This window comes from Homo sapiens, chromosome 12 (assembly GCF_000001405.40).
Source record: "Homo sapiens chromosome 12, GRCh38.p14 Primary Assembly".
In the NCBI taxonomy this organism is placed as follows: domain Eukaryota; kingdom Metazoa; phylum Chordata; class Mammalia; order Primates; family Hominidae; genus Homo; species Homo sapiens.
In genome coordinates this window covers 119,250,701-119,266,566 of record NC_000012.12, presented here as the reverse complement: position 1 = coordinate 119,266,566, position 15,866 = coordinate 119,250,701, and the positions used below count along the sequence as shown (strand labels likewise).

The 15,866-nt window shown below is 43.8% G+C and overlaps 1 long non-coding RNA gene across 1 annotated transcript; it reads left to right on the top strand.

The window, feature by feature from the left end:
• The first annotated feature begins 324 nt into the window (after nt 1–324).
• On the top strand, nt 325–5,827 carry LOC124903032 (uncharacterized). The gene is made up of 2 exons (XR_007063483.1): nt 325–366; nt 5,498–5,827. It is a non-coding gene; the product is annotated as an uncharacterized LOC124903032 (long non-coding RNA).
• The last annotated feature ends 10,039 nt before the right edge of the window (nt 5,828–15,866 follow it).

Genomic DNA, 15,866 nt, shown 5'->3' with positions numbered 1-15,866 from the left:
AGGATGGAAGAAGGATATTTTAAGATCTGCAAAGTATCCAATATTTCCTAAGTACCTTTCTCAAAATGTTGCTAAAGGAAGTGTTCCAGGAAAACAAGTGGGAAATCCAAAAAAGTGACAGGATATTTGGATAGGAGATCCAGGAGAGAAGTGAAAGCCTCAGGACAATTACAAAGGAAAATCCGAAGACAATAGTCATGCTTCAGGCCTTAAATGAAACCAATTCATTTTGAAGCAGGAGAATGGAGAGTCCAGGAAAAGAGAAGGAGAGCAAGAGGAACAAGGGACACTGAGGAGAAGGAGGAAGAGGAGGAGAAAGGAAAAAAGAAAAGGAAAGAAGAAGAATGAGGAAAGAAAGACAAAGAGGTAGGGAGGATGTGAGAAAGGGAGGAAGAGAGAAGGGGATGGGGCAGGGTGAAGAGAAAGGAAGGAAGGATGGCAAGAAGGGAGGGAGGAAAGTAGGAGCTGGTAGATTTTATGATGCTTTTGAGCAGGTGGAAAAATAGTATTGAGATTTTTGCATTGTAGATTTTAGGAGTAACTAATAATAAGTACATAGTAAATAAAAGCAAGAGGAAATTATTATTATTGTTTTAGATTCAGGGAGTACATGTGCAGGTTTGTTACATGAGTATATAATGCAATGCTAAAGTTTGGGCTTCTAATGATCCCAGCATCCACATAGTGAACATAGTGCCCAGTAGGTAGTATTTTTGGCCCTTGCCTCCCTCTCTGCCTCCCCACTTTTGGCATCCCCAGGGTTTATTGTTCCCACCTTTATGTCTGTGTGTACCCAATGCGTAGCTCCCATTTTTAAGTGAGAACTTGTGGCATCTAGTTTTCTGTTCTTCTGTGAATTTGCTTAGGACAATGGCCTCCAGCTGTACCCATACTGCTGCAAACGACATGATTTCATTCTTTTTTTTATGGCTGCATAGTATTCCATGGTGTATGTGTGCCACATTTTCTTTATTCAATCTATCATTGATGGGCACCTGGATTGATTCCATGTCTTTGCTATTGTGAATAGTGCCATGATAAACATGTGGGTACAAGTGTCTTTTTGGTAGAATAGTTTATTTTCCTTTGGGTATATACTCAGTAATGGGATTGCTGGGTTGAATGGTAATTCTATTTTTAGCCCTTTGAGAACTCTCCAACTGCTTTCCACAGTGGTCGAACTAATTTGCATTCTCACCAACAGGTATAAGCCTTCTCTTTTCTCTGCAACCTCATCAACATCTGTTATTTTTTTAGTTTTTGATGCTAGCCATTCTGACTGGCATGAGATGGTATCTCGTTGTGGTTTTGAGGCAATTATTATCACTAGAAAAAACAAACAAACAAAAGACAAGAAAAGACATGTAATCATAGTACAATACTTACCTAAGGAATTAACATTATTTACTTGATTCTTATAATAACACTATTTATTAGTTTAAACAAAAATTGAGATATTATGAGGAAGAATTTGGGGTGGGGGAGAGAAAGAGAGAGAGAGTTAGATTATGTGAGTGAGGGGTCATGATGTAAAATAATTAAAATTTTTCTTCCATAGAAAAATAGAAAATATAATAGATGATGCTTACAGTTGATAACTCAATAAATAGTAGTATCAGTGTGTTACTTAAAATGTGGAAATGAATACCAGAAAAGGCAGCCTAAAATACTGAATGTGGTTGCCTCTGTGGAGCAAGATTAGGGGCTGATGTTGCATATGGACATACATGAGATTGCTGAAATTTTGTTATACTTTTTTTTTTCTTTGAGATGGAGTCATGCTCGGTCACCAGGCTGGAGTGCAGTGGCGCAATCTCAGCTCACTGCAACCTCCGCCTCCCAGGTTCAAGCGATTCTCCTGCCTCAGCCTCCTGAGTAGCTGGGACTACAGGCGTGCACCACCACATCCAGCTAATTTTTGTATTTTCAGTAGAGACGGGGTTTCACCATATTGGCCAGGATGGTCTCGATCTCTTGACCTCATGTTCTGCCCACCTCGGCCTCCCAAAGCACTGAGATTACAGGCGTGAGCCACCGCACCCAGGCTGTTATAAGTTTTATAACAAAATTGCAATCAGTCTAGACAAAAGCCTGCCCCATTACTCCTTTCTTCCCTCCCTCCTACCTTTTCTCCCCACTTCCCAGAGGAACTTGATTAATCCATTAGGTTTCACCTCTCTTTAACTTCCTGATTAGTTACATTTATAAACTCCATTTGTTTTTGCTTTCTCATCAAGCCAAACCAACACCCCCAGAAAAAAAATACATGTACATAGCTTCCTACTATGCACATGTATTAGTCTTGTTAAAATAAAATTATTTAAAAGTTTAAATATCCTACATCACAGACTACAGGGAGAAAATGGAAGCAAGGAAATATCTTGAGTATTTCACTTTGCCGATAAAAACATATGATCCCTTAGCTTCAGCTTTTACTTTTTTGTTGTACTTTGTAGCTTTGTTACTCAACTAGGAGATGGAAATTACAGAATTTATTAATCTGCTTCATTAACAGGCTTGGTATTTTGCCACTTTGGCCAAATTTGGGATCCTGCCATCACTGAGTTTTCTCTCTTTCTGTTAAAGCTTCTTTTCCGTTCGCAAAGATACCTGCAATGTGAAAAGGGGGAGTTGAAATTCTAGTCATGTTTCTCCTCGGTTCGGTCTGATTTTCAGAAATTGCAGTAAATCAGTGTCACTGAAAATTGGCCTTTTTTTTTTTTTCCCTGGGGGTGTTGGTTTGGCTTGATGAGAAAGCAAAAACAAATGGAGTTTATAAATGTAACTAATCAGGAAGTTAAATAGAGGTGAAACCTAATGGATTAATCAAGTTCCTCTGGGAAGTGGGGAGAAAAGGTGGGAGGGAGGAAAGAAAGGAGTAATGGGGCAGGCTTTTGTCTAGACTGATTGAATAAGCCCTTCCGTGGAGTCAGCTCTGAGCGTCTGGGTTTTTTTTGTTCCCTCTCTCTTCTTGTCTATCCTTTCTTGTGAGGGCATGGAGAGCCACCCAAAAGTAGCAGCCTGCTGTGCTGAGTGGAGAGAAGGTACCAGTTGCTAGAAGACGTTGGCTTTGATTTCTACTCTGCCTCTTACTATAGTTGTGTAACCTTAGAGAAATGCCTTTACTCTTTGAGCTGATGTCATGCCCATCTATAAAACTGGGGTGAAGATTCCAATTTTCCAACATTCTAAAGCTTTTAAAGGCCAACAGAGATCATATTGCAGAATGCAGAGCTGGAGGTGGAGATGGAGAGGGAAGATTGGCCAGCACCTGCAAAGGCCTTGAAGTGAGATGGGCAAAGGTGATAGTGAGTTTAGATGAAACGGGTAATCTGGGGTCAAAATAATGAAAATCAGTGTAGTTCACGTTAGGGATTTTCATCTTTATCTTGAGAGCTGTAAGAACACCTTGAACTATTTTAAAAATGGCAAAGAGGCTTGAGATCATCAGGTTTGTGTTTTGAGATCATTCTTGTGAAGAAAAGTTCCAGGGTTCCATGTGTCCTTTGTATCTTGGTGGCTCTCACATCTTTAGCTCTGGCTCACACCTTTATTTCAAGTTTCATACATGTTTATTCAACTGTCTATAGGACAACTCTCACGAATGTTTCCTAAGCACTCAAACCCAGCATGTATCAAACTGAACTCTTGATCTTCCTCCCCAATCCTGACTCTCCTCCACTGTCCTCTCCACACTGTATTTATTTTAAATGGAAACTGTAGCAGAAACTGCTAGTTGCGTCTTCCTTCTTCTTAGTAATAGAATCTTGGGCAATATGCCTAGCAAAACACTATGTTTCTACATTTCCCAGACTGTCCCACAGCTGGAAGTGACTGAGTTCTAGCTGATGAGATGTAAGTGGAAGCTTTGCTTCCAGGAAAGCTCTTTAAAGGAGCTCCATTTTGCACTTCCACTTATTCTCTTTCTTATACCCTGAAACATAGGTGTGATGGCTGGAACTCCTGCAGCCACCTTGGACCCTGAGGATAGAACAAATGTGGCAGAGTAGTTAATAGATAGAACCAAGTATTGAAGAGCTTCTAAACAGGCTTGGACTATCTACCGTCAGATGACTTTCACCTGAGGAAAAACAAATTCTTCTTGCTGTTTAAGTCATTATAATTGGATTTATTGTTCCTCACAGATGAAACGAATCCTAAGTGATAGGATTCTGGAAATTCTCCCCTAAATCTACTCTTATACAAAGTTCTGCATTCTGGCTATCTCTTCAGTACATCTCCTTCTTTTATTCTTGTCTGAGTCACATCATCTTTTGCTGGGGTGATTGTAACAACCTCCTTACTGTCCCTCAGCTTTCAAGCCCCTCCCCACCAATGCCCATGCTCAAAGAATTTCTACCTTTTAGGTAAAAAGACATTCTAGAACTCAATTATGACTCTGCTACTTCTAGGGGAATCGTGGAATTATGGGCACTGAAAATGTAGAGCTTACAGGGCCCTTAAAGTTCATTTAATTTTGAATTTCTTACTTGTTGGTTTGGCTTGATTAAAAAAAAAAGCAAATGGAGTTTTCCATGGGCCTCTTGTGATTGTATATAAATTATTCAATATATAAAATACGGAAGGCTGTGCACAGTGGCTCACACATGTAAGCCTAGCACTTTGAGAGGCTGAGGTGGGAGGATCGCTTGAAGTCAAGAGTTCGAGACCAGCCTGGCCAATATGGCGAAATCCCGTCTCTACTAAAAATGCAAAAATTAGCTGGGAGTGGTGGTGGGTGCCTGTAATCCCAGGTCCTCAGGAAGCTGAGGCAGGAGAATCGCTTGAACCCAGGAGGCGGAGATTGCAGTGAGCTGAGATTGTGGCACTGCACTCTAGCCTGGTCCACAGAGCGAGACTCTGTCCCAGAAATATATATCTATATCTGTAGATATAGATTATATAGAGAAATGGACCTCTCTGGAGAAGATGCAGAGTTTTCAGCAGATTCTCATAGGCATTCAACAAAAATTAAGAATCTGGCAAGTCTATCCTCCTCATTTTATAGATGGGGAAACTGAGGCACACAGCAGTTAAGTGACGTGTCCAAGGTCACAAAGAGACTCAGTGGCAGAGCTGGAACACAGACTAGTGCTCTCTTCTCCACAAAAGTGCGGCCAACTGACAGTCAAGGCAGATGCTGAGACCTCATATTTCTCTCGAGGACTGAGTGTCTGTTTTCACTCAGCCTACTCTGGTTGGACTCACACTGATGAGCACTGGAATGTAATTAGTACCAGTGAATACCAAAAGCCTTAAGAGAGTTATTAATTATATACATTTCTGTTTACAGGAGAATAATACTGTTAGCTTCATTAAGCACCATTATCAGTGCATGATCTAATAGTTTCAACATAATGAAACTGGTACATTTCAGAGGAATGGAAGGAAATATTACACATCTGTAAATTGGATTATTCTGAGCTAGGAAGTCTTTGAGGTGGTGATAATAATTGTTCTGATAATCCTCACATCTAATTGGTACTGTGATTTACAGTTTACATATCTGTGAAGGTTGAATCAACTCCATCTTGGATGCTAATCTGCCATGTTAGCTTCTGATTAACCCGTTTTGGGAAAGCCTCTGAGATTTCCAGTTTATCTGTTGTTCGTCGTGTAAGAGGACTGTACTTCCTGCAAATCCTGCCCTCAGGGCAATTTCCTACCTATTCTCTGTGAAACATGTATGCCTCTCCCCTAGAGTATATAATCTCTGGGTCTGGAGGCTATTGGTGCCGCAGGGATCCACCATCTTGTCTTTCCACCACCCAAGACACAGGCATGGTTTCTGTTCCTAAGCCCCTATTAAATATTTCTTCCTAAGAAACTGGATTTGTCAGCCTCTTTCTTCAGCTTCTCAGCTTCCTCAGACTTTGGGGTAGGTTTGCATAGGCCTGCCCAAGGCAAAACAGTATTATTTTCACATACCTTATTATCTTATTTTATTCTTCCAGAAGTTCGGAGAGGACAGAGAAAACAGTGTACTAGTTAGGAATATTTTGGTTGCAAGCAACAGAAAAATCCAACTTAAAATACTAAGGAAAAAAGAAATGGGGAGAGGGGTCAATGAGAAGATTGTTGGCTCACATAACTGAATTGCCCTGTAATATTCTGATTCAGGAATGGTTTGATCGAGGAGTTCATGCTACCATTAAGGCTCTGGCTTTGTTCCTGGATGATTCTTTCAGCTGCCTTGTTGGCTTCCTCTTCAGGTTGACTCTTCCATAGTACAATATTTCTGGCCTCCTATTCTCATAGCCTCACATCACACTGCACAAAAAGCAGACAGATGCTTCTGGTAGGTCTTTTGGAAGATGGAGCACTTGTCTGTCCCAGAAACCTCAGAAAACCTTTTCACATGTCACATTAGTGTGAACTAGGTCAGATGCCCATCCTTCAACCAAACTACAGTGAACAAGGGATAGTAGGCACTTATTGGCTTAAGCCAATCCAGACCTACTCTAGAGCTGGGGGTGAGATCAATCTCGGTGAAAACAACAGAGCTGAAGATGGTGAGTAGTTACCTATGGAACCTACATCAAATCCTTAATTAATGTAGTTTCCTACGGAAAACGTTAAGTGCGTGGTAGGAAGGGGGGATATGATCTGGGGGAACAACCCAGTATTCCATCACACGGTGGTTCAGAAAGGTTAAGAGACATGTCAAAGTCACACAAATTATGACTGGTGGGATGAAAATAGAAAATTTTTGTCTCAAATCTTCTACCATAAACATGAGCCTTCCTTAGAAAACTGAAGGATTTTCCCACCATCCTCATACTTATCTACCATCTCTGTTCTTAGAAAAGCACCGGAAAACCCCTGGTATCATTCTGAGCCAGGAAATTCCTGTCCACGCCTGCTGAAGACACAGAGCCCAAACTCCAGATAATAGAGGAAGTGAGACTTGTTGACATTGTCCTTCATGCATAGAAATTCCCTCCAAGGCCGGGCATCGTGGCTCACACTTGTAATCCCAGCACTTTGGGAGGCCAAGGTGGGCAGATCCCTTGAGCTCAAGAGTTCAGGACCACCCTGGCCAACATGACAAAATCCTGTCTCTACAAAAATTAGCCAGGTGCAGTGGTGTGTGCCTGTAGTCCCAGCTACTTGGGAGGCTGACGTGGGAGAATCACTTGAGTTTGGGAGGCAGAGGTTGCAGTGAGCTGAGATTGCGCCCACTGCAGCCTGCCTGGGCTGTGGGAGTGAAAACCTGTCTCAAAAAAAAAAAAAAAAAAAAAAAAGAAAGAAAGAAAGAAAGAAAGAAATTCCTCTAATGTTGTCACAGGAAGTAGCTTGACAGAAGCAAGTCTCAGTTATTTTTTCACAGATCCACACCCTTCCAAGTCAAGTTGAGATTTAAAGTAGGCAAGTCCATTCCTCACATCACAAATCAAATCACCATGACGATGACCTCCCCAATCATGCTGCTTTCCCCAAGATTCCAATTCACTTTAATAAGAATCATCTCCTACCACGATGCCTGGAACTGGCCAACAGTACCTCTAGCTACCATGTCCTGAGTTCCTCTGAGCTATGGGCCGTGTACCAAAGTTCTTCCAACAATTTAAGCCAGGAATTGCCCCACTGTTTCCGAGGTGATGAGAGCCTCTGAGAGGTGAGATTCCACATCCCAAGTTGCACAGCTGGGGAGAGACAGTGTCAGGACAGTATCGCCTGTGCTGAGGTCTAGCTCCCCAGCTAGACTGAAGCTTTATGAGGATTTTATTCATTTCAAGTCTGGATCTCCTGGGGCAACCAGATTGTGCCCTTGATGTGCGATTGTTGTCAAAACAAGAGCAATCATTTATTGAGAACTTACCAGGTGTGAAGCCTTGTGCTAAAAGGATTTTATGTGCTTCGGGTGATTTAATTATTTTTCCCAGCCACCCCATGAGGTAGGTAATATGAGTATCTCTATTTTATGAATGAGGACACTGACTCAGAAAACTACAGTCGCTCCTCCAAAAATCACTCAAGTGGCAAATGTTGCAGGTGGGATTTCAGTCCATGTCTGTGATTCTCACCTGCCATACTGCTAAGCTAACCAGTTGCCCCATGCAAGAAGAACACACCTCGGTCGCATGTGGAAGCATGGGGAAGACAGTAGGTTGCATCATTCTCTGCTGCCTGGATTTGACAGCAGAACTCCCTTTCCTGTCGCCCGTCACTCATATCCAGGAATGAAAGCCTTGATTGAAAGGCTTGTCCAACAATACAGCTTTAACAGGGCCATCTGCTCAGGACACAGTAAGTAGTGACAGGAAACATCTGCTTTGGAAATGCCGGTGCTTCTGTTGATTGAAATGTACACACAGGAAAGCCGTCTTCCAGTCCGGGGGAAATTCTGAGCTGAAGAGATTGTGGTATTATTGACCACATCAAGAAGAGCTGGAAATGGGAGAACTCTTGGGTGGCAGAGGAGCAGATCCCAGGCCAGCAGGGGTCCTCTTGGTAATAATAACAATTGCTGATAAATATTGTTTCATGAAGAAGCTTGGAAGGACCTCTGGGGTGTTGTTTCAAATGGGTAATTGAATTCCCCGCTGGGAGGGAACAAGGATGGCTTGGTTCACCCCACTTTGGGGAGTGGTCTTGATGTAAATTTAATGTGGAAATGCCAAACCCACAAGGCATTTTTGTTTTCGGTTTTTTTTTTTTTTTTTTTTTTCACAGAGTCTTGCTCTGTTGCCCAGGCTGGAGTATAGTGGCTCGATCTTGGCTCACTGTAACCTCTGCTTCCTGTGCTCAAGTGATTCTGCCTCAGCCTCCTGAGTAGCTGGGATTACAGGTGCGCACCACCATGCCTGGCTAATTTTTGTATTTTTAGTATAGACAAGGTTTCACCATGTTGGCCAGGCTGGTCTTGAACTCCTGGTCTCAAGTGATCTACCTACCTTGGCCTCCCAAAGTGCTGGGATGACAGGCATGAGCCATGGCGCCCAGGCCCACAGGACATTTTCATTTGTGTGTGTGCATGCAGATGTGCAGATGTATGTGTTCATATCAGAAAGACTGCTCATTTAACGTACGAATTTATCACACGATTCCCTGAAGCCCTGATTTCCACCCCGGGTAGTTCAAATAGAATTTGGGTTACAACATCCATTTAGGTTGATTTATCTATAAGCTTTCCATAATATACATACCGGGTGAACTTAGGCCTTCTTCCCTCCCCTTCTCCCTCCTTTTCTTTCTTTTCCTGTATCTTTTCTTTTCTTTCCTCCTTTCTTCCATTCTATTATTAAATAAACTTTAGTTGTGCTACAATGCTGGGTACCAGGTACACAAAGATAGATAAGAAACAGTCTGGAGGCGAGCTGGCATCTACAACAGTGGTTTTCAAATAGGAGTGATTTCCTTTTACCCCTAAGGGGACACTAGGCAATGTCTGGAGACATGTTTGGTTGTCACAAGAGGAGTAGGTGCTGCTGGCATTTAGTGGGTGGAGGTCAGTGAATTAGTCTGTTCTCACACTGCTAATAAAGACATACCTGGGACTGGGTAATTTATAAAGGGAATAAGTTTAATTAACTCACAGTTCCACATGGCTGGGGAAGCCTCACAATCATGGTAGATGGCGAAGAGGAAGCAAGACACGTCTTACATGGTGGCAGACAAGAGAGCATGTGCAGGGGAACTGCCCTTTGTAAAACCATCAGATCTTGTGAGATTATCACAAGAACAGCACAGGAAAGACAGGCCGTCCCTATGATTCAATTACCTCCCACTGGGTCCCTCCCACAACACGTGGGAATTATGGGAGCCACAATTCAAGATGAGATTTGGGTGGGGACACAGCCAAACCATATCAGTCAGGGATGCTTCTCAGCATCCTGCAGTGTCCAGGACAGTCCCACCACTCGCTACGAAGAGTTATCTGGCCTACAATGCCAGTAAATGTTGAGGATGAGAAATCTGATCTTGAATATGGTAGAAAGAATTGGACTTAACTGGATTCAGTCCTGGCTGTCTGTGTCTCAGGCAGAAGACCTCGAGTAAGTCCCCCAATCTTTCTGAGTCTCAGTTTTTCATCTGTGAGAAGGGACAAAGAATGATTACTGTTTTGTAATGATGGAAAGAAGTTTGGGCATAAATCATGCCATTTAGTACCTGGTGGATATTCAAGAAACAGTAGCCATTGGGCTTATCTAAGCCCAGGCTTCTAGGGTCTAAAAGCTACCACTGGGTTCTCCTGTAGATAAATTCCAAATAAATTCCTCTTATTCTAAGAGGAAGCCCGAAGATAATCTCATACCCTCTTCCCTTCCTGGCATCATCACAACCTGTAGCTATAGATTTATTTGTGCATTTAATGAATGCCTCTCTCCCTGATCTACCATAGACCATAAGGTCTTTGAGGGCAGGGGCTATGTCTTCTGTTGTCCCTTCCTATATTCCCAGCACCCAGCACAGTGCCTAGCCATAGTATCAGCTCTAGATAATTGAAGCCAGACTGCCTGAGTTGAAATCTTAGCTTCTTTCACTCACTAGCTGGGTGACCTCAGGCAAGTTACTCCAATTTTCTGTGTCTCATTTTCTTCATCGACAAAGTGGGGAATATTATGTACTGCAAAAGGTTGTGGTGCGAGCCAAATAAGCTACTATATGTCTGGAGTCTGGCACCTAGTATGTGCTTATAAGGGTTAGCTATTATTATTGGCGTTATTCCTTTATTATTTTTACTTTAATTACTGAATGCTGCTCTGCTGCAGGATGCCAGCACAAGGGGATGGGCCTGTCTTTGCCTTTGGGGAGAGTCATTTCTGCGAATTATTTGGAGAAAGATCCGAGTTTGCAGAGAAGCTGGCAACTCATCTAAGCAGAAAAGTAGAAATCAAAGTGATTTCTTGGAGGAGACTCATGGGGGCCTCCTGGGTCACCAAACAGCCGTCTCTCTCACCTGGAAGAAATAGGAATTGATTTGAAGCTTGTCCCATCTGAAAAGGTCTGTCGGGAGCCAGAACCAGCACATGTTGTCAAGGATGCTTTTGGTCTTTGGTCCGGAGAGGAAGTGATTCATGATGATTTGCTCTTCCAGGGAGTCAGGGAGACCCAGTGGAGATGCAGGCTGGGGTCCCAGGGGACTGCTGGGTTAGATTGTTTCCCTGAGCAGCAGGAAGGGAGGAGAATCAAGGAGCCGGTAGGAGCTGATGAATGAGGATAGGAGACCCAGGGAAAGCCAAAGTGGGGAGTCAGTGGGGTTGGGAATAAAGTGCAAGGAATGAGAGAGGATCAGAGAGAGGTTTATTTCTTCATTTTATATTTTTATTATTTTTGAGACAGACCCTCGCTCTGTCACCCAGGGTGGAGTGCAGTGGTGCGATCTCAGCTCACTGCAACATCCGCCTCCCAGGCTCAAGTGATTCTCCTGCCTCAGCCTCCCAAGTAGCTGGGATTACAGGTGTGCACCACTATGCCCAGCTAATTTTTGTATTTTGGATAGAGCTGGGGTTTCACCATGTTGGCCAGGCTGGTCTTGAACTCCTGGCCTCAAGTGATCCACCTGCCTTGGCCTCCCAAAGTGCTGGGGTTACAGGTGTGAACCACTGTGCCCTGCCTCTGACACAGAGAGGTTTAGAGCTAAGAAGATCAAAAGCAACAACAACAATAGCAACCATAATGACAGCTACCACCAATAGAGCTCTGCTGTGGAAGACGTATTTGTGTCCTCCCCAAATCCATATGTTGAAATCCTAACCCCCAAGGTGATGTTATTAGCAGGCAGAACTTTTGAGAGGTGATTAGGTTATGAGAGAAGGACCTTCATGAATGGGATTAGTGCCCTTATAAAAGATGCCCAAGAGAGGTCCCTTGCCCCCTTCTGCCATGTGAGGACCCAGCAAGAAGATGGCTGTCCATCTATGAACCAGAAGTAGGCCCTCACCTGACACCGAATCTACCAATGCCCTGATTTGGACTTTCCAGCCTCCAAAACTGTGAGCCTGAACAGACTAAGAAAAGTGCCTACTATGTGCCAGATACTTTATACACCAAAGCCCATTTAGTGCTCATTGTGACCCTCTGAGGCAGCATGACACATGCATGTCAGGCCTCATCAACCTGTGGATGCTTTAAGAAAAAAAAGGTCGTGGCGGGCTTCGGTGGCTCACGCCTGTAATCCCAGCACTTTGGGAGGCTGAGGTGGGCCAGTCATGTGGGCCCAGGAGTTTAAGACCACCCTGGCCAGCATGGCAAAACCTCATCTCTACAAAAAAATACAAAAATTAGCCAGGTGTGGTGGCGCATGCCTGTGGGCCCAGCTACTTGGGAAGATAAAGTGGGAGTATCACTTGAGGCTAAGAGGTTGAGGCCCTGATTGCAGCATTGCACTCCAGCCTGGGCAACAGAGTGAGACTTTGTCTCAAAAAAAAATAAATGAGTACAAAATAAAAAAGGGTCGGGCCGGGCGCGGTGGCTCATGCCTGTAATCCCAGCACTTTGGGAGTCTGAGGAGGGTGGATCACAAGGTCAAGAGATTGAGACCATCCTGGCCAACATGGTGAAACTCTGTCTCCACAAAAAAAAAAAAAAAAAAAAAAAAACAAACAAAAATTATCTGGGCGTGGTGGCACATGCCTGTAGTCCCAGCTACTCGGGAGGCTGAGGCAGGAGAATCGCTTGAATCAGGGAGGCGGAGGTTGCAGTGAGCCAAGATTGTGCCATTGCACCCCAGCCTGGGCAGCAAGAGCGAAACTCTGTCTAAATAAATAAATAAATAAATAAATAAATTTATAAATAAATAAGAAAGGGTCACACTGCCTATATTCATTAATTCAGTCATTCGACAAATATTTTTTGAATGGAACATCTGACATCTGGCAGGCACTATTCTAGGCACTGGGGATGTAGCAGGAAAGGAGACAGACCACGAGTCCGTGTTCCCTGCCTTCATGGAACTGACATGCTAGTGGGCTGTGGGTAGGACAACAGCAAATTAACACTATGTCTGGGATATCAGACGGGGAGGAGTGCTATGTGGAAACCAAAGCACGGAATGGGGACGGCGAGTGCAGGGTAGAGTGAGGTTGCAACTTTGAGAAATACGGTCAAGAAAAGTCTCCCTGGGTTGGGTGTGGTGGCTCATGCCTGTAATCCCAGCTCTTAGGGAAGCAGAGGCTGGAGGACAGCTTGAGCCCAGGAGTTCAAGACCAACTTGCGCAATATGGCAAGACCCTGTTCTCCGCAAAAGAGGGGGGGAGAAAAAAAGAAAAGTCTCCCTGAAGAGGTAACATTTGAGTGAAGATCTGAAAAAGGCAGAAAGTAAGCCATCTGCATGTTTTGGAGAAAAGTTTAATTGCAAGCGAGAGCAGCTAGTGCCAAGGCCCTGGGGCAGGAGCGTGTCTGCTATGTTTGGGGAAACAAGGAGGCTGGTGTGCAGCAGCAGAGGGAATGAGGCAGGAGAGTAATTGGAGGTGGGACAGAGAGGCAGGAGGGTAATTGGAGGTGAGATGGAGAAGGTCCAGGGTGCTGGGTCCTGTGGGCCTATGGCCATTGTAAGGAGTCAGCTTTGATTCTGAATGTGGATTCACTGTAGAATCTTGAGCAGGGAAGTGATGTGATCTGACTTCGGTTTTAATAATCTCTGTGGCTGCTGTGTTGAAAACAGTTTGTGAGGGGCAAGGGAGATGTTAGGAAGCTCCTGCAAGGATCCAGGTGAGAGACGATGGCAGCTCAGACCAGGTAGTAAGAGTGGGGCTGGTGAGAAGTAGTGGATTCTGTATCCAGGGTGGGTTGGCCTGAGTCCCAACCTGATTATGCAGGAAGGAAAGCTCCCATCCTGCCCCATCCATGTTCCCTCCAGCTCTCACCCATGCCCAGAAGCCTGAAGGGCAGGTGCATTCACTCACAGCATCCGGCTGTCCTGTTCTCCTCTTCTGGATCCATGTCTTCAACCAGTGAAGTCACTTGGAGTGATGACACTGTCACCACTGAGCTCACTGTGATAACAGCAATGTCCATGCCAGGAAGCTACCTCCTGGTGCTTCAAAGCTTCTGGTCTTGGGGCTGCCAGGATGGCACTATGCCCATGCATGGTGAGAAGAAAGTCTACTCCTTCTGTGGACCATACTTTGCACCTGGGCCCCAAGTCTATCCTGCTTGTGCCCCACACAGCTCAAAGACTTTCATGAGCATTTCCATCAGCTTCTGATCCTCACTCCCTCTTGCCATAGGAGCTCACTCCAACCTCAGTTTCCTTGGGGAACCAGACCCCTGGCCATCTTCTTCCTCCTCCATATTAAACCTTATCCTGCTTCCCAGGCTGTAAAACGAAAAATGTCCAGAGACAGCCCTGAGTGTGTGCGTGCGTATGTGAGAGTGTGTGTGCACGAGCGTGTGTGAGTGTATGTGTGTGTGACGCTGAAGGAAGCAGGTGTGAGGGTGTGAAGGGAACCAGCTTAGGTTGGTGTTATCACCCCAATTTTCCTGGTGAATCAATGGAAACTCCGAAAGGTTAAGTGATTTGTCCAAGGCCATCTCTTTTGCATTAAAATCCCCTAGTAGTCTCTTTTCTTCTACAATGTGAAGACCCCAGGCCCTTTCCACCTTTTTTAAAATACAAAATGATTTGATAGTGAAACAAAAATTTCAAAATTGGAATATTTGTATTTAAAATCTTGGATCTACAGTGGCTGTATCTGTAGTAGCCAATCAAGCAGTCATTCAACAAACATTTATTGAGTGACTAATAGATATCAGGCCAAGAAGCTCAAGTAAGCATAAGCAGGTAAGTCCTATTTCACTTTGGCTATTTGGAGAGAATTCTAGACTACTCCTTAAGAGGAAGGAACAGGACCAGAAATGGGACTTAATCCTCGCCTCATTGGTGTGAATGGTAGAATGATAGCAGGAAGGCACTGTTGCAAGGTCAGGCAAAGTGGGTTCAAATCTCATGTTCACCAGTGACAACCTGGGTGACCCCTAGAACCTCAGGTCCCTTTAGCACTGGACAGATGCGGCCAGGGTTTGACACAGGGTAAACACTTGACAGATGATCGCTACCATTGCTGGGCGGGCAATGGAGCTTGAATACAGACAGAAACAAATGGGAAAATTCTGCCCTGTGTCCTTTTTGCCTGCAGTGTCAGTTTTGGGAGAGAAAAGAAACTTGTAAGTATCTGGATAAGAAATGGCCGTTGGTCCCCAAAGAGTTAACAGAGTTCCTCAAATCACCTGCTTCCTTCAGCTTGCCAAAGTTTCTCCAATTGTAGAAAGGCAAAACCTTTCATGTTTGCCAAAGACTTGCAATTTCATTTTTCCATGGCTTCCAACAAGGGCAAAACCTGCTCTTCACCCTCAATGCCTATGGATGATGAAGTCTAACACTGTAGATAGTTTTCTGGGTGATTAGATAGATCACGTTTTCCAAAATAAGGAATTAAGATCCATGGTACGGGTAGGGAGAGGAAGGTGTTGGTGGGTATGTTAGATGAGAGGGTAAAATAATATTTGAAATCCTGGGAAACTGGGGAGGAATATTTGGTCACCAGCCTTTTGTCCACTTATTAGATTGCCTGGAAATTTGGAGATCTTGGTCTGTTATCTCAGTAGACTGTAAGCTCTATTGAAGGTGAGGATCATGCCTCGGAAACTTTTCCCCATAGGACATTGGAAATAGTAAGAAGCTTTATACAGGGGGCAGATTGCTGTTAATACTAACAGCTAATGTTTATTGAGTACTTGCCCTATCCGAGGAACCACAATAAGTGTTTCATAATTACCTTAGTAAATTCTCAAAAGAAAAAAAAACAACTATCAATAGACAACTGTGCTATTATTATCTATCTATTCTTTTAAGATTTTTATTACCATTTTACAGAAGATAAAATTGAGGCTCAAAGACATTGAATAATAAGCCCAAAATC